We start from the raw sequence: 22,359 nt of genomic DNA on the forward strand, positions 1-22,359 counted from the left end.
GGCCGAGATGGGTGGATCACCTGAGGTCAGGAGTTCGAGACCAGCCTGGCCCATATGGTGAAACCCAGACTCTATTAAAAATACTAAAAAATTAGCTGGGCGTGATGGCAGGTGCCTGTAATCCCAGTTACCCGGTAGGCTGAGGCAGTAGAATCGCTGAAACCCAGGAGGTGGAGGTTGTAGTGAGCCGAGATCATGCCACTGCACTCCAGCCAGGGCGACAGAGTGAGACTCCGTCTCAAAAAAAAAAAAAAAAAGCATTCCTGAAACTAGACCATGTAAATGCACTTATTCATTCACATCATCATCTGTGTGGGTGCAGGTGCAGCATGGGTGTTTTCTAATGTAACGGAAAAATGAAATCAGTGATGTCTCCAGGCGCCTACATGTGTGCACGTGTGCACACGTGAGAGTACACTGCTGCATGTATCGTGTGGGTATGTGCATGAGTGTGAGCTTACATGCACAAGTGAGAGTGTATATGTAAACCTGCACTGTGTACGTTGCGTTGTGACATGTGCGCATGTCTCTGTGTGTTCACGTGTGCACGTGTCTCTGTGTTCACATGTGTGCACATGTGACTCTGTGTGTTCACCTGTGTATGTATTTAGGTCTGTTTCTGGACAGTAAAAACTGACTTTACAACTGATTTGGGATGTGGTTAACCTCATTCAAATGAACACAGGAAACCGAAGCCCTGTGCTTCCCGGCTCATTCCCTTCAGCTCCGGGTGACGTTCCTCAATCAAAAATATTAGACTTCTCTTTCTGAATAAGTGACAGAAATTTTCCCCAAGCAGCCAAACAGGGGCCTCTGGCATGGTGCTGTGGTGCCCTCTGGAGGGTTAGTGGAAAAGATGTCTTTCTCAGACAGAACGGGGAACGAACTGGAAAAGCTCTGCAGAGCCAAGGAGGTATGCGGCCCCAGATCCTGACGTTCCCCTTTCACAGCTCAGGAGACCAACCTGTGCAGGATCCACGACTCTGGCCCCACGTCGGGCCGGGCATCTCTTTCACGCAGCAGCTACATGTCACATTTCCTTTTCTCTATTCTGGTCCTGGAGTGAGCAGCACAGGACGCATTCTGTATGCTCCACATCATTCTGGGGATCAGATCAGCACCACCGCATCGCCAGCCCCACCAAAGCCGTTAACAGACGTGCAGTTTAGGGAATCTAACACATATCTTTTGATCCTTACAGTGATCTTATAAATAACTATGTCGAGTATGCCTATATACCTTTCCTGAAGGGAAACTGAAATTCGAGGCCATCATCACCATGTCCAGTGAGAACCAAGGCTCTTATAAAATTGATCATGTTCTGTGGTCATCACAGGAAGTGTTTTCACTCGGAATCTATCGTCAGACATGTCAGTACCTCTCAAGAGTTCTCATGAACACATTTTTACAATGACCACGTATTAATGTGCAGAATTCCACAACAGCTTGCAGCTGTTACCCTGGAAAATCCACTAATTGCATACGTATTTCAATGTGCTGTCGACATAAAGGTGACGCCCTGTAGGATGGGGGTCATAAACCTGCCAGGACAATGGTGAAGACTTGGGAGGGTAAGAAATGAGAAAGCGCTGTGTGCCCTTGAAGCAGCCGGGAAACCCGCATCCACCCAGGCTGCACCTCCACTCCCAGGCTCCGCGCTGCTTCCGGTCTGTTGTTCTGCTCAGGACTGTGATTGCAGCGGGGAAGCCTCTCACTCACCCAAGAGCCCCGTGTGCGGCCTAGGGTTGGTGGGAGACACAAACCCATCCCAGCCCAACCTGAGGTCATCGGTTACAAAGGACAGTGGCAGGGAAGTCAAGGCCCCACAAATGTCCACTCAGTACTTTTCAGAACTTACATGCTTCTAATATGTGCCAGGTATGCTTTGAGAGACTCTTGGATGGACTTTCTTGTATTGTCAATATATAAGCTGTCTGAAATTTATTATTTGATTTGTCACATCAGTAACTTACAGAGAAGAATTTAAAGAGCAAAAAAGCCAACATGAGTAACTTTATTTATAAAGGTGTCACAGTTCTTGGCAAGTAAATCCATTCCTAGGTAAACCATGGCTTCTGGCTTCAAATTCACAATTCCTAAGGTCCCCCTTTTTTTACCTGGATGCTTGAGCAAAAGGATATTCGGTTTGGAGGCTAGAGAAGGAAGCAATGATGCTGCCTGGGTATTTCACAGGCATTTGTATAATAAATGAAATGAACTTGGAAAGCATTTAAACACCAGCCACCCATCAGTGTGAACTAAGTAACAGGTGAAATCATAAGGATGGCACAATGTGTTTGTCGTTGTAACTTGTTTAAACTAACTTCACTGTTGTGAGGTTTTCACGGTTCTTCTCCGAGGGTCACTTGTCAGCTTGGGAGGAGGTGGAACCTCAGCTCTTCACAGTTCCTGATGATACATAAAGCAAAAAACTGTTTGACTTTCTAAAACCTTTTCAACACAAGCCAAAGCCAAACTACAGACTAGTAACACATATTTCTGCCCTATATGTGTTACCAATTTTAACACATAAAATTAGAAATAGGTTTTTTAAAGCCCATATTGCAAAACAAAGAAGAATACGAACAGATTATTCACTAAAAAAATGCAAAACACCAACAATCATTTGAAAAGCGTTAAACCTCACAGGTAACCACAGAAGTACAAGTTAAAACAGTGAGATAAAACTTTCACCTATTACTCAGAAAAGTTTCTTTTTTTACGTTGCTACTTAGTGCAGACAAGGATTTCAGGAAATATGTACAACCAATATTGGCATATGCTTTCTGAAAATTGATTTAGCAACATTTACCAACTGTCACATAAAAGTTATATATGTTGACTAAATTTCACTTGTAAGAATTTATTCCAAGTCAATAGTGGAAATGTAGGCATGTGAGGTTGGAGATTTCTGTGTTGCTGTTGTCAGTAAAACAATTAGAAAAACTCTGCATCTCTAATATCAGTAACTGGTTACGTAAATTCAGCCTATACCCCTACAATGTGTTTACTATGCAGGCATTGAAAATAATGTTATATAGTGAAATAGCATCATGATAATAGGGACTACATTACTTTATAGAAGATAGACTTACAGAAAAAAGGGGCAGCAAATTGACACTTAACAATTTTCTCCTGTTCCAAAGATATCCAATGTTATATAAGAAATAACCAAACATGGGTAAGGCAGAGGAAAGACCAGCACATGGAGGGCCAAGCTGTGAGTGAGTTGGGCTTAGGGATCCATAAACCCAGAGATGCAGACGCCCAGCTCAGATGGAGCATCACTCCCACATACAACAGAACCCAGAGATGCAGATGCCCCACTCACTCCGATAGAGAATCAACCCCATATACAACAGGATCCAGAGATGCAGACACCCCACTCACTCAGATAGAGAATCAACCCCACATAAAATAGAACCCAGAGATGCAGATGCACCACTCACTCAGATAGAGAATCAACCCCACATAAACTAGAACCCAGAGATGCAGATGCCCCATTCACTCAGATAATCAACCCCACATACAACAGGACCCAGAGATGCAGATGCTCCACTCACTCAGATAGAGAATCAACTCCACATACAACAGGACCCAGAGATGCAAACACCCCACTCACTCAGACAGAGAATCAACCCCACATAAACTAGAACCCAGAGATGCAGATGCCCCACTCACTCAGAGAATCAACCCCACATAAAATAGAACCCAGAGATGCAGATGCACCACTCACTCAGAGCAACAACCCCACATACAACAGAACCCAGAGATGCAGATGCCCCACTCACTCAGATAGAGAATCAACCCTACATACAACAGGACCCAGAGATGCAGATGCCCCACTCACTCAGATGGAGCATCAACCCCACACACAACAGGACCCAGAGATGCAGATGCCCCACTCACTCAGATGCAGCATCAACCCCACACACAACAGGACACAGAGATGCAGATGCCCCACTCACTCAGATGGAGCATCAACCCCACACACAACAGGACTCATGGAGGCAGTCACCCAGCTCACTCAGATGGAGTGTTAACCCCACGCACACAAAACCCAGAGATGCGGATGCCCAGCTCACTCGGATGGAGTATTAACCCCATGTACAACAGAACCCCGAGATGCAGATGCTCAGCTCACTGAGATGGAGCATCAACCCTACACACAACAGGACCCATGGAGGCAGATGCCCAGCTCACTCAGATGAAGCATCAACCCCATGCACAACAGGGCCCATGGAGGCTGACATCCAGCTCGCTCAGATGGAGCAGGAGCTGCTGAAGGGTGTTTTGGCCCAGGACTGGAGCAGAAGGCAGTAGCCCTGAGGCTTACAGAGCAGACCCTATGGCCACATGCTTGGACTTAGGCCTCTGCTTGGCTGCCTGAAGGCTGCAGGGAGCTCCTTCTCTGTCCTCAGGTTCCTTTCAGGGCCTGTGCCAGTCAGCGCCTCCCCTGGCATAGGTCTTGTGCAATTTCTAATGACAGCATGATTCGGAGACTATAATAGCTACACCTTCCCCCAAAGCGAGGAAAGATCTAACTGTACAGGCCGCTGTGAAACTGGAACATCGGAGGAAGAGGAGCTAGAAAGCTTACCAGGCCGATGAGGATGCTTGCTGTCAACTGTTCCAGCCCCACTCGGAACAAGCTGCCACCAACGCATGGCACCCACAGCCTGCGTGGGCCTCGCCGCCCCATCCTGCCTTCCCTGTGCAGCAACCAGGGCTTGGAGACATCTTCGCACCATCCTGGGACTGGGCAGCGCCACCCCCTGGGTGCTCTTCTCTGCCCTGGCTCGCTCCCTTCCTGCCTCCGAGAACTCTGCATGTGGAGCCCAGCCCCGTCCTCCCCAGGACCGACTTGCTGGTGTAGTCGACCAGCAAGAGGGGCTTCAGTAAAGAGGGGAAGGCTGCACTGAAAACATGTTCTGGTTAACTTGGTGAAAGAAGAAGGGTGCTCCACTGAAATCCAGACAAGGAAGCCTGAAGTTCTTTTCCAGGGAAAAGATGCTTGGGCCTGACCGGTATATCTCTGACGGCAATTCTCGTCTGTCTTTAAGCATCCCACTCAACTTCGCGCCACTGAAGCTCCTTACCCTGAATTCCACCCCCAGCCCTTTTTTTTTTTTTTTAACATTTATTATTTTGTAAAGGGCAAGAACATGTTAACATTTCCTTGCCACTTTACTTCTCACAGAAGCTAGCCATTCAGGTTGCATATTGCTTTCTGATTTGATATACATTATCTGTGCAAGTAGACTTTCTTCTACTGGCAAGGACACAATTGCATTTGTTTGTTAAAACTCAGCACCAGATGCTGCAGCAAAGGGACCTGCCAGCCAAAGGTGGAGCTAAGTTCCAGGTGCTCCTGTTTCCAGTTACAGTAAGGTGCAAAACAAATACCATTTTTTTGAAAAAAACAAAAAAAAATACTACATATTATTAAAGATGTATTTTATTGCATAGCAATCGATAAACGTAAGGTGTCACAGGTTTGGAATGTGAAAAATAATTTTGATCCCAAACCTCCTTTCCTGTACTTTATCAGTAGAGTAAAAACATTTGTTCTACTTAAACAGATGAAGCTCTCCAGTGAGTCATCCACATTTATGGAGCCTGAAACCAGTGTGCTCTGTGCAACCCCCAGTGCTTTAAAGTGGGATTGCACCTGTGCTTTCGTAAATTACTCAACTGCTGATCATTTTGGCTTCTATGACTTTCCCTAAAATGAGGACAACATATCAAGACAATTGTTAACAATGCACTTTAAGGCATTGAATATAAACTTACTACACAGTTAAAAATAAAGTGAAGGTTGTTTTTACAAAACCAAAATATAACTGTTCCAAAACACAGACACACACATGCAGAATGAAAATCAAAGACCACACGTCATGGTTTCACACTGACATGTCATCAGCATCAAATTCATGCAAAGCTAGCAATACTGTTACACTACTTTATCACAGGCAAACTGAGATTCAATCACACGGCCCCATATTAAGTCCAAATAACATATAGATGTTTAATTAGTCTGTTCTCACACTGCTATAAAGATACTACCTGAGACCTGGATTACTTTATAAACAAGAAGTTTAATTGACTCAGTTCCACATGGCCGGGGAGGCCTCGGGAAACTTACAATCATGGCAGAGGGAGAAACAAGCACCTTCTTCACAAGGCAGCAGGAGAGAGACAGTGACAGCAGGGGAAACTGCTGTCTTTAAAACCAGCAGATCTTGTGAGAACTCCCTCTCTATTATGATAACAACATAGGGGAAACCACCCCCATGATCCCATCACCTCCCATCAGGTCCCTCCCTTGACACATGGGGATTACAATTTGAGATGCAATTTGGGTGGGGACACAAAGCCAAACCATATCAGATGGTGAAAATGTTATACTAAAAATGCACAGTCTCTACAAACTCCCTGGTTTCTTTTCTGTCAGTGAAGTCAAATATCTACACAACGGCCCTGGACAATGCTACAGGGAGGACACATTACCTTAATCATCTTTCTGTCCCACTTCTCAGCCACAAAGGCCCGAGAGGGGCATGAACTTGGCTGGTGAGCTCTGCACCTCAACATTCTCTTCCCAGGCTTGTCTAATCAAAGATAACTGTTCCAATTACATTTTGAATTGGTAACTTTCAGAAATGCACAATTAGGCATGCTATCCAGATACAATGCACAATCAGTATTCCCTTATTGAACACCTATTTTTAAATATCTGGGTCTCTAACCACCTGTCATTCTTAAACTACAGGTCCACATTTGACAGGAACCAAGAGCCACTGGGCAGGAGCTATTTTATAAAGTGGATATTGCAAAGTAACAGTATGCCTGTCCTAACAGAACTGGGAGCATTGTGTTCCCAAGCACCTAAATCAACAGAACACCAGGACATTAGGAAAGACACGCTTCTCCATGGAGTGTTGACTTCAGGGCTTCCATTCTGTTTTCAGTAAAGCAGCCCATAACTTTGCTAGAGAGGGCCTAGCCTCTTGTGAATTGGTTCATCAAACTGAGATACAACGTATTTTCCAAGAGCTTCCTTCCAAGGTCTCTCTGCCCCAGCACAGCTGACATTTCATGTCAAGTCATTGTCTGTGATGCGGCTGACCCAGGCACACAGGATTTTATGCATCACCCCGGGCTCCACAGGAGAAGCCAGGAGCACCACCCCCTCCAGTGACAACCAGGTGTCTCCAAACTTTGCCCCATGTCTTGGAAGGTGAAAACACCCTCTACTGCGAACTGTGGCATGCACTAGAAAACACAGCACGAGGAGGAGGGCATGGTGCCCATGTACAGGTGGCACTGTTTATTATTGAGTTTCATATTTTATATTGTGTATTTTATATTTATAATTAGTACTAGTTACACATATGACATGGACTTCTTCAAATCAAATTCCCAGTTATGAAGCTCTGCAGAGACCGTTCCCACAGCCTGACTACAAAGATCAGGCACCTGAAGACGCATGTCCTGATGGATACATTCAGTGCTGGCTGAAAAGCCAACTTCAGTGTGTGCCCTACCACTGTGGATATTTAAATAAAACAACGGTTTTTCAAACCATGAGTCAGCTGGAAGGATGCCCACGCCACGCACACTGCAGCACTGGGAGCTGCACTGGGTGGACGGGAAGGACGCAAACTCCAAGCAGCTGCTGCCCCTCAGTCTTCTTTCCTTCTCCTTTTCTTTTCCTTTCTTCTCTCTTGTGCATTCTTCAGGTCAGTCATCACATTCAAAGTCTTCCATACCCACATAACCTAAACACAATTGTTTGAGACATGTTTAGATTTGAAAAACATACACATGAAGAAAGACAACTGAAAGTGTCATCTACGTACCACAATGATCATGGCATTCACCAGCAGTGGGGCTGAAAATACTATAGAAATGAACATCCCCCTGGAGTCGAAATACTGGTATTTCGAAAATAATCTGTTTAAAAAACAAAAACAAAAAATTACTAGGCAATACAACCAAAAAGTTCTAGTGACACCGTCTATTTAGATAAGACTTTGGAGAGAGCTGATGTGGACTGAGGTGGGAGCAACACCCTCACTGGGCCCACCCTTGGGAGCAGCGGTAATCTCCACTGTACTGTCCCAAATGCAATGAATGCTCATTATGAAGAAAACACACTGGGTCACAGGACAGGGAGACACCACCCAGCAGCACAGGAAAGACCCCGAGGCCTCCCCCAGCAGAGAGACGTCACCCTGCAAGCCCTCTGGGTCATCAGCAGCACATCTGACCTTAGCTGGAAGACACTGATGACTTGAAATCCTTAAAACCTACAGAGTAACAACGTCAATAATCCCCTCCCCGTAAATGACAAAGGGACAGCAGCTGCGTCTGCTCCACAGCTGCACTGGGAAGGAGTGGTGCCGGGCCCTTCCATCCCTTTGGTTCTCATAGCAGGTCCTCTTGCTGTCAGTGCCAGTGCCTCTTTAGCAGAAGAGACTGAGGAAGGCGGAAGATCTCCACCTGCACAAAGGTACAGCGCCAGGGAGGGCAGAGGATCTGCACGTGGGTGTTGATGATTCTCTCAGCAGCCAGCACAGGAAATGCCATCAACAAAGCTAGTAATGGTGGGCAGTGGGTCAGCGCCTTGTGAGCATGGGGCTCCTGCCTTGCTGGCGCTCACAGCTAGTAATGGTGGGCAGTGGGTCAACACCTCATGAGCATGGGGCTCCCGCCTTGCTGGCGCTTACACTCTATACCATGGGAGGCCCAGAAGTAAGAGGCAGCCAGTCCAAGCATGTGGCGAGTGCTGCTACAGAGAAATGTGAAGCCTGTCGGGGGTGAGGGGGCCTCGTGGAGTCGTAGGCACAGCCATGAACGGCTGGGACAGAGCTGGCAGGAGGCCGCAGGGCATCACTGCAGGACTCCGCGTTTACTCTGGGGGAGCTGGGGACACTCTGGAACGTTCTGAGGGGCAGTGCTTGGCTCTGAGGCCCACGCTTCCCCAGGATGCCCAAGAGGCTGGGCAGTCGGGGGACGGCTTAGGGACCGCTGCATGTCAGCAGCGGGTCGGCGAGGGTGGGGTGAAGGGCATGGAACACACTGGGCTCGTGGCTGATCTTAAAGGTGGAGGGACGGAGCTTCCTGAACAATGCCCTGTTACGTCTCTGGTCTAAGAAGCTGGAGGGAGAAGCCGCCCCTACGAAGAGGGGGGAGCAGAGCAGTCGGACTGAAGTGTGAATTTTGAGATGTTTGTTAGACGTCCTGGTGCCCAGTCCAACAGGTGGGACAGGCAAGAAACCCAGCGCTTTTGAAACCAGGAGATCTCGGAGAAGCATGAAGACAGGAGGCTGCGGCCAGAGGGAAGGGAGGGGCCAGAAAGGTGCTGCACCCTGGAGCTGGGTGTGGGAGGGCTTCGGGGAGGATGACCCTGTGCCAGCCTCTGGACAAGGTCAGGGTCACCAGGGACTGAACACCCCTCCTGGGACTGAACCATGTGAAGGCCCTGCATCCGGGAGGAGAGGCAGGGTCCTCCTGGGACTGAACCATGTGAAGGCCCTGCATCCGGGAGGAGAGGCAGGGTCCTCCTGGGACTGAACCATGTGAAGGCCCTGCATCCGGGAGGAGAGGCAGGGTCCTCCTGGGACTGAACCATGTGAAGGCCCTGCATCCGGGAGGAGAGGCAGGGTCCTCCTGGGACTGAACCATGTGAAGGCCCTGCATCCGGGAGGAGAGGCAGGGTCCTCCTGGGACTGAACCATGTGAAGGCCCTGCATCCGGGAGGAGAGGCAGGGTCCTCCTGGGACTGAACCATGTGAAGGCCCTGCATCCGGGAGGAGAGGCAGGGTCCTCCTGGGACTGAACCATGTGAAGGCCCTGCATCCGGGAGGAGAGGCAGGGTCCTCCTGGGACTGAACCATGTGAAGGCCCTGCATCCGGGAGGAGAGGCAGGGTCCTCCTGGGACTGAACCATGTGAAGGCCCTGCATCCGGGAGGAGAGGCAGGGTCCCCAGTGAGCCGCTTATGGCTAAAGAGAGGGCAGGGAGGAGGGAGGGCAGAGACAGTGCTGCAGGGACGCTGTCGTGGAGGGAAAGGCTGAGCAGGGAGGAGCAAGGCAGGAGGAGGCCGAGTCAGGGGAGGGTTCGGGAAACCAGGCGGGGTCTAAGCAAAGGATTTCAGGGAGTGCTCAACAACCCCTTTCGGTGAGGGCCCAAGATCAGTGTTCAGGGCTTATGGGCCACAAGGCCACAGTCTCAGCTCCTTCCTGCTCAGGGTCTGGCAGTTTTACTTTTTTTCTGTTTTATATTTTAAAACGTAAAAGCCATTTTTAGCTCACAGGCCACTCAAAAACAGTCCGTGGGTCTCACTTGACAGAGGCTGTGTGGTTCAACCTGGGCAGGTGCTGGGTTCCGAGTCCCCTGGGATGAAGCCAGGGGTAGAGGAGGGGGCAGAGGACGCAGGGCCAGGGCTGCCAGCGGTGCCCCCCGACATCAGGATGTGGGGCTGGGGATGAGGCAGGCAGGTGCCCCAGACCACCCAGAAGCCCCCTACTCAGGTCCAGACTCCCCATGGAGCAGCCACCCTGCAGTCCAAGGGGGAGGGCATGGCTGAGGCCAGCGCGGACCACGTTCTCTAAAATGCTGCTGTTTCTATTCTGCAGCTCAAATTCCCATGGCCACTTCTCTGGCTCTGCCATCAGAGGCCTCAGCCAGCACTGTCCCACAGTGCCACGCTCAGAAAGGGCCACTGTGGCGCTGGTAAAGCATTTACGGAGTCACCCTGGAGCCCACCAACCCTGGATGCACGGGCACGGGCTGTGCACAGCTGCCACGTTAGGATTCACTGTCTCCTCCGCGAGTCCCACCGGCTGTGGGGCCATTCCCAGGGACACCCCTGCAGGGACCTGGTCACAGGCCCGGGGGTGGGCTCACCTCCAGTTCATCGCAGCCGCCTCATTGATGTATTCAGCACAGTAGACTAAGATGACTGAAAAAAGGTACAAGTCATATTAGAATTTAGATGGCCCGTTATTACTCGTTATAAAGTTATACATTCTTTACAGCAGAATACTGAATAGAAATGTCACTTTAATTTTAAACATAACATCAGGTAAACATCCTAACATTGTCAAGTCGTAGGACTCACCCATTTAGCAGAAAGAAAATCAAGGCCAACAGTGCTTCAGTTCTCCAATGCTCTATGGTCTCACTCAGAGCCCGTGCTCAGGTCAGCACCTGCAGAGCTACTGCAGGAGCCGCCCGAGGCCCCAGGCTTCACCCAGGCATGGCTGGACCTCACACATTTCCCCAGGGACAGCAGCCACAGTTCAGCCCCACAGAACACGGCAGCAGGAGCTGAGAGCCACGAGACCCAGAGCTGACAACCAAGGGCTTTTCACGCTCACACTTCCCGGGCTGACCTTGGGACACTGCCACTGAGATGACCATAGGAGGGGAGCGAACAGCTTTGGGGTGCTGGAGGCAAAGGCACGGGAGGGAGGGCAGCAGCTGGTGGGGGCAGGGCAAGGCCTCCATGCTCCCAGGAGCACACAGACTTTAGGGACTGGCCCAGGGTCTTCAGCTAATTCGTGGGTAATGCTGGTACTCAAACCCATGAGACAGTGACCCATGGTACCATAAAATCAAATAAAATATGATTCGGCAAATTAAGAAAAATGTGATGCTTCAACTTCCAAGGTAAATCAAACTAAAAATCCTTTCATTCTTCTTGATACACATCAGAAAGCAGATTAAACTAGGGGCTACGGTGAGCAGTCCCTCCACTTCCTCCCTTCAGGAATGGACTCAATAAAGCAGAGGAAAAGAATGCACAGGGAAAGAACCAGAGGGGAGGGGAGGGAGGAGGAGGAGGAGGAGGGGGAGGATGGGGGGGAAGGAGAGGAAGGAGGGGAAGGAGGAGGGCCAGGAGAAGCAGGACAGCCAGGCAGGTGAGAAGGGTAGGCTAACACAGGAGGTGGTGGGCATGGGTGCGGGGAGGAAGGTGTGGAGGGCTGACGTTACAGGGGGAAGGTGGGGAGGGTGGTAGGCACGGGAGGAAGGCGGGCAGGGAGGGTGTCACCAGGTGCTCCTCCTCAGCTATTCCTGAAATGCACCCTGGAGCAGAGTCTGAATCTTGAATCTTGATGGTGCTGGTTATAAGCTGTATAGCTGAGGGAGTTAGAGAACCTCTGCATGTTTCATTTATAAAAATGGGCAAATAAAATCCAACTCTTGGCTGGTTTGAGAAATGAATCACAGGAAATGTAATGGCAGGCAGCACAGTGTCTAGTATTACCCCGGTGTGAAAGCAGTCATCCTTCCCCTTATCCTAGAAAACATCAAACCCTTTGTGCAGTTCTCCAGCTGACAAAGCTATTCAGATCCAGGAGCTCAGCTGGTGAAGCCATCACCTTTCTTTGAGATGCCTGCCTCAGGGCCTCTGCGTGGGGCACTTGCTCCTGCCCTCTGCCAGCATCTCACTGCCTGGCTCCTGCCTATGCACCTTTTGCCCCTGGGTTCCCAGGGGACTGTGTGATTTAAATCAGGCCGCTCCTCCTGTTTCACTGTGTTTTTGGCTTTTCCATTGCAACACTTGTCACTGTTGATAACACAGGTCTGTGATGAATCACTGGTGCTGGTGTCCCCCAGGAAGCTGTGGGAGGCAAAGGAGCCCTGTCTGCCTGGTCCACTCCAGCACTCCTCAGGGCACCCTCAATACAGAGCTTGCTCTGAGCGCCTCACTTGCATAGGCCCCCACTGTGATGCAAACCCTCATCACTTCTCCAGTCTTTCTAAGATCATCTCTTCTTCAGATTTCCCGCTTTGCACACAGCCAGCTAACTAAACTTATCTGAAATTAGTTATTTTTAACTACCAAGCAAAATCTTCAGTGTCTCCCCAATGTTGAGAGTCAAGAGTAGCCTGAGCCAGGCCTCCAGGCCCTCCTCGCCTCTTCTACCCACACGTGTTCGTAACGCTCAGCATCAGAAGTGCTTAGGTCCTGGAGGGCTTGCAGTTTCTCTGCCTCTGATCCACACCTTCCATCTATCTCAGTCTCTGCATGTCGGGCTGCTGCCCTCCCAGGGCCGTCACCTGCTCCCTCTCTTTTCTTATTAACATTTTACTCACTCTTCACACCCTGTGCCATGATTTCAGCTTTTCTGAATAATCTTTCTCAGTCATCCTGTGCAACTCCCTAACTTCTCTAAGTTCTGTAGCCCTTATCCTTGAAACCAAGTTGGGCAATGCCTTATTTTATGCACAGAACTTTTCTTTCCCAGTTTGCAATCTTCCTCCCATTCAAAGCAGTGCATGAGCACAGCTGCCACCAAGGACGCATCTTGTGTAAAAGACAGCACTTCCGGAAACCCAACTCTCCTGTGTGCAGCTGGTGCTCAGCACCTCCCTGGTAGGCAACAGGAACTCAACAGATTCCTCTCAACTCTAACATCCAAAAAGTAGTTTTCTTTATAGCTTCCAAGAGTGAAAAACGGGAGTGCCCTGGGAGCAGGCACATGACAGAGGGTTGGGAGGTCTTGTAAAAATATGTATATATTTCGAAGACACAGACAGAACATACACAGTTTCATTTCACACAGTGATCTGAGTTGTGGAGTTTGTGTTGTTTTACTCACCTAGACACAGAAAGTGCCCGATCTGTAGTCTGTAGCTTCGGGAGGACAAGCAGGTGAGGAGCACGCAGAGCGCGTGGAAGGTGGCCAGCCCCATGAGCCAGGGCTCAGTCCAGTCCGTCTGCTGTAGGAACACACCAGCAGACACTCACTGTCCTGCCACTCAAGGCCGGGTTCACGGCCCACCCACAGCCTTCTCCCAGCGCAGGAGGCAGGGGCCTCTCACTCCTGAGTCCTCCTGGGCTACTCACCAAGTATCCAGAGAGCATTGCCAGGCCTCAGAGAAACATGGGGACAGGAAAGGGAGAAGGAACCAGGAGGATGGAAACAGGATTCTCCCCTCAGTGCAACTATAATTCATGGAATTCAAAGTTCAAGCACACAGAACTGAAGGCATCTCTGATGTGCTCCTTTCGTTTGTGGAACAGAATCATGTTTTTAAGGTGGGTATAATTAAAGGAATTACCATCCTTTACGATGATAATTGGTTATGATAATTGGTGACGACAAGGAAATTAAGACGATTGCTCAAAGAGATGCACTTGGCTCAGCCCCAAAGGTAAAACATGAATCATCATTTCAGACTCCTTAGTCAGCACTGAAGACCTCAGGGAATCTTGAGCCATCGCCACGTGCAAGACTTGATTTTCTCCAACCTCTCTGCAATACACTGAACTCTCCAGACAGTGCCGCACTCCGCCGCCTCCTGGACTCCCCGGGACCCTGCTGTACCTGGGGACAGTGTCTGGCTCAGGGACCTGAAGTAGCCAGGCTCAGATCCACTGCTGCTCAGTCCCCACCTGATGCTCAGATGCCAATCCCAGCAGTCCTCAACCCTCCCCATCCCCTCCTTGAGCGCCCTCCTGCAGAAGACAAGCCCTGCCCTCCAAGCTGCAGCCCCGCCCTGCCCTCCAAGCTGCAGCCCCGCCCTGCCCTCCAAGCTGCAGCCCGGCACAGCCCTCCAGAACTCCTGTGTCACTACTCTCTGCTGGGGACCGCAGCGGCTTCTCCAGAGCCGCGCCATGACATAAGGACACAAGCGCATCTACTCCCATCAATGCACCCACCAGAAGACCAGAGGCACGGAGGTGAGGGGAGCACGGCTTTCTGCCCAGACCCCATCGAGTGCCCATGTCACCCCTTGGCGGCCACGTGGGGCGTGGGCTCCCCTGGGATCTGTCAGACGAACCCGGCACGGCGCACGCCCCGCCCACACTGGGCAGCGTTCCTCCGTGCCACCCCACACGATCAGGCTCCACCACGCACGCCCCGCCGCACTGCCAGAATCCGCCCACATGGCCCAAGCCCCGCCCGCAAGACGCTGGACTGGCCGGCGTGCACCTCCCACACGAACAAAGCCCTACCCCTCGCGCTCCGCCCACACAACTCAGCCACGCCCGCACGGTGCAGGACGCCAGCCCAGCCCAAGCCCGGGCCACAGAGCGCCGGAGCCAGCTCACTGCGCACGCTCCTCCACAAGGCCCCGCCCGGCCCCGCCCCTCCCCGCCCAACGGCCCAGGACCCCGCCTAGCGCTCGCGCCCCGACGCCCGGCCCCGGCCCCCTCCCACAGGGCCCAGGACCCCGCCCACAGCGCGCGCCCCCGACGCCGGCCCCGAGCCACTCCCACAGGTCTCAGGACCCTGCCCAGCGCGCGCGCTCCGCCACAAGGCCCCGCCCACGGCCGGGGCCTTCTTGGCCACAGGCCGGGTGCTCTGTGGGGCCTACCCTACGCCTCTCCGCCGTCCTCCCCCGAACTGGTGGTTACGCGGGCCGCGAGTTACCGTGAGCACGGCTGGGATGCTGACGGGGAAAGAGCTGACAGAGAAGGCGGACGGCATGGTGTTGGGAAGCCCGCTCTCACAGCAACCGCCGAACCCGGCCTGGCCAGAATCCACAGAGGAGGGCGCCAAATCCTCTCTCGTGAGATCTGCCCTTCTCACGAAACTTGCGCTTGCTTCCTCTCGCGGTAATTTCATGGCATTGCTAGGTCCAGATATCGCGATATTTCCTGGTGGTCGCTGTAATACGGAAAACTTACTACGCTGCTGTGGGACTTGTGCTCGCTCCGCCAGGAGGCCGAGGGCGTCTTTAGTTCGTTAACAGAGGAGCAGGCGGAGGCGGGTGGAATTTAGGAGGTTTGTTTCAAAGGCTCAGGGCGCTGTACCGCCACGCCAGCCCTGTCCCACCTGGGACTCCCTAGAAGGGTCAGAGCATCAATGAGGACGGTGTCCGCCCCGAGACCCTGCAGGAGCCGGGGACATTGCCCACTCCTCGGACCCTGCAGGACTTGGGAAGGTGTCTGCTCTCGCGACCCTAAGGGCAGTGCACTCTTAGTCTGGGTCAGCTTAGGGTTATCTGTCTTCACTTTGGAGATTTACCAGATGTTCTTACGCTTCACTTCGTTGTTCAACGACAGATACAAAAATATAAAGTTAATTTTCTTCCAGCGAATTTTTTCCCTTTATTTTAACATCTATACCCCAACTTTGACATTTTCAAATTAAACATTCTGTTATTTTAACATCATGAATTATTAAGTGTATATACTTTAATTGCATATGTTAGCTCTTGAACTAGTTTAATGTTTCTAAAAATAGTTCTAGTGGTGGACTTTTTTTTTTTTTTAATAGCTTTAACCCCTCCCAGATCTTTCTTAAAATCTTTCCACAGTGTGGTCATTTCTGCTTATGCTACTTAACATGCATTCTCTCATTTCAGTGTAGAAGGTCATGGTTTCTTCTTATGGGAAAACATTTCTTTCATTGATATTTTTCTCTATTCTTCCTGTATTCAACTCCAGGAACATCCCGTTAGGTAGATAGTGCATCTTCCTCTCTTTTGTGTTTCTCAACCTTCCTCTCAAAACATCACGACTGTTGTTGCTGAGTTTGGGAAATCTCGGGCTTGGCTTTCCTGGTTTTTTTTTTTTTTTTTTAAGACGATGTCTCGCTCTGTCGCCCAGGCTGGAGCACAATGGTGGGACCTCGGCTCACTGCAACCTCCGCCTCCTGGGTTCAAGCTATTCTCCTGCCTCAGCCTCCCGAGTAGCTGGGATTACAGGTGTTCGCCACCTCACCTGGCTAATTTTTTTTGTATTTTTAGTAGAGACGGGGTTTCACCATGTTGGCCAGGCTAGTTTTGAACTCCTGACCTCAAGTGATTTACCCGCCTGGGCCTCCCAAAGTGCTGGGATTACAGGCATGAGCCACCGCACCCAGCTGGTGTGATGGTTTTCATCTGTGTCCATTCTCACTCCCCTGTGTTTGTTCAGCTATTTTCAACAGGACCTTTCAGTTACAGGGAATAGATCTGTCCTCTTCAGTTCAGCCTGTTACTGTGTATCTCCCTGATGATATTTCGTTACTATGTGAAACATCACTCTTATTAATTTCCATGGGTTAGTTTCATCGTCAGTCCTGTCTGGTGCCTGCCTTTCTTTTGTGGTGTCTGTTTTCTTGTAACTTCTGTAATTTGGGGTCAAACTCTTTTTGCTATTAATATTAACCACAGCCTATCTACGGTCACTGGGATTTTTTCTCTTCATCTTCCCCTCAGCCGCCCTCCCAGATCTTTCATATATTGTGCGCCCTGGCACCCAAGTTTCCAAAATTGTTAAAACTCTGGCCCTCAGCAGCTTCACTTTCAGTCCCAGGACATTCATCTTCCACATTCCTCCCGCCCTGCCGTTCTGAACAACGCTAGGCTGCCGGACATTTAGACGTGAAGCTTGTGCAATGTCGCCAGTCTGAGATGTGCTTTAATTTCAAACATACACCATCTTTCAAAGACTTTGTACCAAAATGTAAAATACATTATCAACAATTGTATTATTTTGCTTACATGTTGAAATTATATTTTGGACATACTGGACCAAATAAAATATATCAATAAAATTAATCTCTTTCTCTTTGCTATTTTAATGTGGCCAGTAGAACATGGCCTGCTCTCTCTGTTGGTATGTGAATGCTGACATGGACTCTATTCCATTTACCTGGAATTTTGTGCTTCCAGAAAAGACTGGATGAAGCCCCTCCCCTCCCTTCCCCTTCCCTCGCCACCCTTCTCTTCTCTTCCCTTTCCTTTTTTTTTTTTTTTTTTTTTTTTTTTTGCGTTTTGCTCTTGTTGCCTAGGCTGGAGTGCAGTGGCAGGGTCTCGGCTCACTGCAACCTCTGCCTCCTGGGTTCAAGCGATTCTCCCTGCCTCAGCCTTCCGAGTAGCTGGGATCACCGGCGTGTGCCACCATGCCAGGCTAATTTTGTATTTTTAGTAGACACGGGGTTTCACCATGTTGGCCAGGCTGGTCTCGAACTCCTGACATCAGATGATCCGCCTGCCTTGGCCTCCCAAAGTGCTGGGATTACAGGCGTGAGCCACCACGCCTGGCCCAATTTTGTTTATTTCTAAAATAGCTATTTAATCCACATACAATTGGTTTTCAAGAGCTTTATTAATGGGTAAAATAAGTTTGTGAGCTGTAATGTTTTCTACAAATTAAAGCCAGTACTTGATAGCTTTCTTGTTCTTTGCATTGCTCAGGTCCCAGCAGGCAGCTGATTGTTTAGATGGAGAGACCACAGGGGAGAGTTACCTGTTGCTGTGGGAGCAATGAGGAGTTATGGAGGAAAGGAGAGGTACCAAGACCAGGTCTGTGCCCTGTGACCCAGAGGCAGCCTTGGGAGGGGCGTCTGTCTAGGAAGAGCCACAGCCAGGCTGACATGGGCAGGACCCCCTGGACCTGGCCTCCATAGCCCCATGCCAGCCGGGGTGCCAGGTGCAGACCCCTGGCCTGGTGACAGCTCAGACAGTGCCAGAAAGCCCAGGAGGGTCGGACCCTAGGGGACGGCAGGGTGCATCTCAGGAAAGGTTTAAACACTGTAGCACACCCAAAGAATGGTGTGAGCCCAGAGGTTTCATTCCTGAAGACATCATGGCCAATAACTGAGATCCCTGAGAGCTGGACTCTGGGCGCCCTCAGTTTCGATGTCTTGGATGCGAATCAGGCCACAGAAGTGCCCTTATCTCCACCACTGTGTTCTCCATTTATCCCCATTGAACTTGCCAAGCTCAGCAACATCCTGCAGGACACCAACCTCACGGGCTGGGTCTACGACCCCGGGCAGCTTCTGTGCGGGTTCCTGGTTCCTCCCTTTGTGTCTCTGGGCTGCACCAGTTTGACCCTGATGTGAAATCTGATGCCTCTGTCAGTTTGTACAATGCGGTTTACAATAAAGCATTTGACAGCAATGCTTAATTTACCATTTCCAAAGCTCTCATTCCTTTCTGAGCATTTTCAGGTGGTATCATTTCCTCTCAGACTAAAGAATTGCCATAAGCATCCCATGCAGTTCAGATCTGTCGGGGATGAATCGACTTCATCTGAAAAATGCTCTTGTTTTGTCTTCATTTTAAAGGATATTTTTTCTGTGAATTGTTGAATACTGCTTTTCTTTCTTTTCTTTGACCACATGAGAGATATTCCACAGCCTTCTGTCTGCCATAGTTTCTTGTAGAAAAGCAGTGATGTTTCTAATCCTCATTTTCCCATAGATAACATGTCATTTTTCTGTTTTCAGAATATTCTGTTTATCTTGGTTTCAGCAGTTTGACCACGATGTGCCTAGAATTAGTTTTCTTTGTATTCATGTTGCTTGTGTTTGATAAATTTCTTGATTCTGTGAATTTATATTGTTAATTTTTAGCATTATTTCTTCATTTTTTCTCTCTCATTCTTTTTCTTCTCTTTATTAGATGAGGACTGAACATTAGACTTCCCATGATTGCAGAACTGTCCTTCGCTGCAGCTGTAAAATCGCGGCAAGGCAGGATTCATCCTGGTGGTGGGTGCAGGCCCTGATTCCCGTCACTGAGCAGGGATACAGCAGGAAGCTCCACCTCTGAGCACAGCAAGGGGATTGTTCTGATTCTGAGTGTGTCTGTTTGCTAGAGCGGTGGCCACACTTCCCCGGTTCTGCAATTGTGGATAATTTAGCATGACTTGTTGGGCATTGCAAATATCATGTCGTGGAGAGTCTGGGCTCTGTTATTTTTTCCAGCTGTGTGTGTGTGTGTGTGTGTGTGTGTGTGTGCATGCACGCGCACGCGTGTGTGTGATGAGACCATTAAGTTGGTTTGACAGACTGCAAACTGCCTGTTGAACAGCAGCTGAATTCTTAATTTGGTTCTTTTATCCTTCTTGTGTTTCGTGGAGTTTGCCTCACACATTCAGCGTTCGGATGTCAACTGGAGTTCTGGATGGAAGTTATACACAGAATTTGGGGTTCTCCATCTCTGATTCTCTCCTTCCTTCTCAATTTTTAGCAGGCATATTCCCAATTTCTTCAGGAGGGAAAGACCAAGGGTTTCCTGTTGGTGTTTTGGCAACTCCGCATGGCATGGCGTCAGACTCACCCTAAGCTAAAAACCATAAAAGCCCTCTTTCCCTTTGTTTCTTCCACACATCACACTCCCCTCCCATAATCCATGCTTTTCATCTCCACTCACTTTTTATATTTGCTCATTGTCTAGATATTCCCTGCAGGAGAGTGACATTAGACGGGCTCACTTGGCCACCATGGGAAGCAGAAATCCAGAGATGGACACATTCCCTAAATGCTTCTATGCTGCCCTGTAGGAGAGGTGTTACTCTACTCACATTGCCGTGAGGAAACTGAGGCTCAGAAGTAGCATCCTTTGTCTGAAAGGACATAGCTCGTGAGCGCTGGAAGCATAGTTTGGTGTCTGACTTGGCCAATTCCAAAGCTTGTGTGATTTGCACCAGCACTCAGATGCATTCTTCCCTCTCCCTCCCTACCCAAGAAAAATGCTATCCCTCCCTTTTCCTCTAATTAGAAAATTCTTTTGTATAGTAGGAGATTATTAGGAAATAATCATTTCTCTCCAAAAGTAACACACTGAGGAGGCAGTATCTGAGGGTTTTGCCCAAATATGGCCTTTCAACCTCTGAATTCATGCCTACAGAAATTCCAAGATGTTTGTCATAGCATTTTTATTCTAACCCTCCTTAATGAGTGATACAGTTTGCCTGTGTCCCCACCCAAATCTCATCTTGAATTGTAGCTCCCATAATCCCCATGTGTCATGGGAGGGACCCCATGGGTGGTAGTTTATTCATGGGGGCAGTTACCCTCATGCTGTTTTGCTAATAGTGAGTGAGTTCTCATGAGATCTGATGGTTTTATAAGGGGCTTTTCCCCCTTTTGCTGGGCACTTCTCCTTGCTGCCGCCACGTGAAGAAGGATGTGTTTGCTTCCCCTTCTGCCATGATTGTAAGTTTCCTGTGGCCTCCCCATCCCTGAGGAACTGTGAGTCAATTAAAGCTCTTTTCTTTATAAATTACCCAGTCTTGAGCAGTTCTCTATAGCAGCATGAGAATGGACTAATACAATGGGTTGGAAACATCAAGGACTCCAAAGCAACTTTTCTGATCACTGAAAATGGCTCACACTAGGGACACGAAGGCAAGGTTTGCAGCTTCCTGCCCATGTCTGTTCTATGCCTGACTGGCTGTGCCCAACTTATACAGGCTGGACTCATCTTTCCTTCTGTCTCTATGGCAACCCTCTCAGAGAGCCAGCAGGGGCAAATCTCTGCTCTCCTATAACCTTGGGGCCTCTGGCTACCTTCAAGGCAGCCACTTTTATTTTCTCTAACAATTCAGGGCAGGTAGGGAAGACTTGTGGGTGTCCCAGACACTGGACAGTGATTACTGGGGTTTACCATCCTACTTGTTTGTAATGCACTCTAGCTCACTCAAGTGTAATTTTAAATGCAGTTGTTAAATGGCAATGAAATTTCCAGTTCCACTTAAAGCAATCATAGCTCATTCTTACTGAATTAAAAGACCCAGGCTACCCTGCTGGGTATGGTTTACCTTGTGTTCACTTAGGTGTACCTGCTATTCTCCTGGCATCACAGAGAGACAAAAGTCCCCAGGATGGATGGTACAAGTATGAAACGCCTGCTTGAGATGAGAAGCCAAAATCAGGGGATTATTCCTGAGGCTTTAATATGCAGATTGGTCTTTGGAGTTCATTGATTGTTAGGGCAGTTTCTCTGACATAAAAATTAATCTTCAGAAATTTACACACTCATAGAGAATGAAGCTGGCAGGATTTAGCCTGCCCAGTGTACATTTCTCATTGGTGCAAATTCACATCTTGACATATGTTGATAAGTTTAGGCTGATGTGTCTTGTAATGATGTTGGTATTCAGGGAAGTTTATGCCAATCTTCACGTGAAGTGGTCCTTCCTTAGGAATTGCTGTGGTTCTCTGACTTTCTGCACTACTGTATGACTTCCTGGGCCACCATAATGAGACACTACAGCCTGGGCAGCTTGAACAGCAGAAACTTATTTCTTTACAGTTCTGGAGGCCAAAAGTCTAACATTATTAAGACATTGACAGGTTGGTTCTTTCTGAGGCCTTTCCCTTTGGCTTGCAGACACATCTCCCCATGTGCACACAGGGTCATCCTCCTGTGTGTGTCTTTGTCCTGATCTTCTCTTCTTATAAGGACTCCAGTCAGGTAGGATCGAGGCCCACCCTTATATGCTCATTTAACTCACTTTCCTTTCAAAGGCCTCGTCTCCAATCACTGCAGCCTTCTGAGATGCGGGGTTTGGACCTGACATATAAATTTGGGGACACAAGTTGGCCCACAACACCACCAAGGGTACCACTGAGCACAGACAGAACTTGGTTCTCTTTCCATTTTCTTCTCTCAA

General features: G+C 49.3%; 1 protein-coding gene and 1 long non-coding RNA gene across 5 annotated transcripts, besides 7 other annotated features; one reads left to right on the forward strand and one right to left on the reverse strand.

Moving 5' to 3' along the window:
• Window positions 1-1,982: 1,982 nt before the first annotated feature.
• Window positions 1,983-15,512, reverse strand: TMEM18 (transmembrane protein 18). Of its 3 annotated transcripts, NM_001352680.2 has the most exons (6): window positions 15,395-15,512; window positions 13,864-14,344; window positions 13,616-13,736; window positions 10,914-10,968; window positions 7,863-7,956; window positions 1,983-7,781 (listed from the first exon to the last, which is right to left on the reverse strand). In NM_001352680.2, exons 2-6 carry the CDS (start codon window positions 13,879-13,881, stop codon window positions 7,686-7,688), a joined length of 384 nt encoding a protein of 127 aa, NP_001339609.1. In that variant the 5' UTR covers window positions 13,882-14,344; window positions 15,395-15,512; the 3' UTR covers window positions 1,983-7,685. The 3 variants fall into 3 exon arrangements, with proteins under 3 accessions (NP_001339609.1, NP_690047.2, NP_001339610.1); NM_152834.4 differs by lacking the exon at window positions 13,864-14,344; NM_001352681.1 differs by lacking the exons at window positions 13,864-14,344; window positions 15,395-15,512 and adding an exon at window positions 14,680-14,810.
• Window positions 11,999-12,500: an enhancer, noted in NCBI's record as "H3K4me1 hESC enhancer chr2:673893-674394 (GRCh37/hg19 assembly coordinates)". NCBI's record gives its function as "activates a minimal SCP1, AML or CMV promoter by ChIP-STARR-seq in primed H9 embryonic stem cells {active_cell/tissue: H9 hESC(primed)}" and the evidence as "EXISTENCE:reporter gene assay evidence [ECO:0000049][PMID:30033119]".
• Window positions 12,501-13,000: an enhancer, noted in NCBI's record as "H3K4me1 hESC enhancer chr2:674395-674894 (GRCh37/hg19 assembly coordinates)". NCBI's record gives its function as "activates a minimal SCP1, AML or CMV promoter by ChIP-STARR-seq in primed H9 embryonic stem cells {active_cell/tissue: H9 hESC(primed)}" and the evidence as "EXISTENCE:reporter gene assay evidence [ECO:0000049][PMID:30033119]".
• Window positions 14,787-15,552: an enhancer, noted in NCBI's record as "H3K27ac hESC enhancer chr2:676681-677446 (GRCh37/hg19 assembly coordinates)". NCBI's record gives its function as "activates a minimal SCP1, AML or CMV promoter by ChIP-STARR-seq in primed H9 embryonic stem cells {active_cell/tissue: H9 hESC(primed)}" and the evidence as "EXISTENCE:reporter gene assay evidence [ECO:0000049][PMID:30033119]".
• Window positions 14,787-15,554: a biological region, named in NCBI's record as "H3K27ac hESC enhancer GRCh37_chr2:676681-677446".
• Window positions 15,045-15,294: a silencer, noted in NCBI's record as "silent region_11101". NCBI's record gives its function as "represses an Ori minimal core promoter by ATAC-STARR-seq in GM12878 lymphoblastoid cells {active_cell/tissue: GM12878}" and the evidence as "EXISTENCE:reporter gene assay evidence [ECO:0000049][PMID:35858748]".
• Window positions 15,455-15,554: an enhancer, noted in NCBI's record as "active region_15216". NCBI's record gives its function as "activates an Ori minimal core promoter by ATAC-STARR-seq in GM12878 lymphoblastoid cells {active_cell/tissue: GM12878}" and the evidence as "EXISTENCE:reporter gene assay evidence [ECO:0000049][PMID:35858748]".
• TMEM18-DT (TMEM18 divergent transcript) lies at window positions 15,478-20,969 on the forward strand. 2 transcript variants are annotated; one of them, NR_183417.1, is made up of 3 exons: window positions 15,478-15,579; window positions 18,150-18,257; window positions 19,362-20,969. It is a non-coding gene; the product is annotated as a TMEM18 divergent transcript (long non-coding RNA). The 2 variants fall into 2 exon arrangements; NR_183416.1 differs by lacking the exon at window positions 15,478-15,579 and adding an exon at window positions 15,634-15,748.
• Window positions 15,585-15,654: an enhancer, noted in NCBI's record as "active region_15217". NCBI's record gives its function as "activates an Ori minimal core promoter by ATAC-STARR-seq in GM12878 lymphoblastoid cells {active_cell/tissue: GM12878}" and the evidence as "EXISTENCE:reporter gene assay evidence [ECO:0000049][PMID:35858748]".
• Window positions 20,970-22,359: the final 1,390 nt, after the last annotated feature.

Source organism: Homo sapiens, chromosome 2 (assembly GCF_000001405.40).
Source record: "Homo sapiens chromosome 2, GRCh38.p14 Primary Assembly".
Taxonomy (NCBI): Eukaryota; Metazoa; Chordata; class Mammalia; order Primates; family Hominidae; genus Homo; species Homo sapiens.

Coding starts and splice junctions, on each gene's coding strand:
- TMEM18 (NM_001352681.1), bottom strand. CDS start 14,745: ATGGGCACTCGATGGGGTCTGGGCAGAAAGCCGTGCTCCCCTCACCTC. Junction 10,969..13,615: donor CGGGCACTTTCTGTGTCTAG/GTGAGTAAAACA, acceptor ACCTTTTTTCAG/TCATCTTAGTCTACTGTGCT. Junction 7,957..10,913: donor GCGGCTGCGATGAACTGGAG/GTGAGCCCACCC, acceptor TTTTTTAAACAG/ATTATTTTCGAAATACCAGT.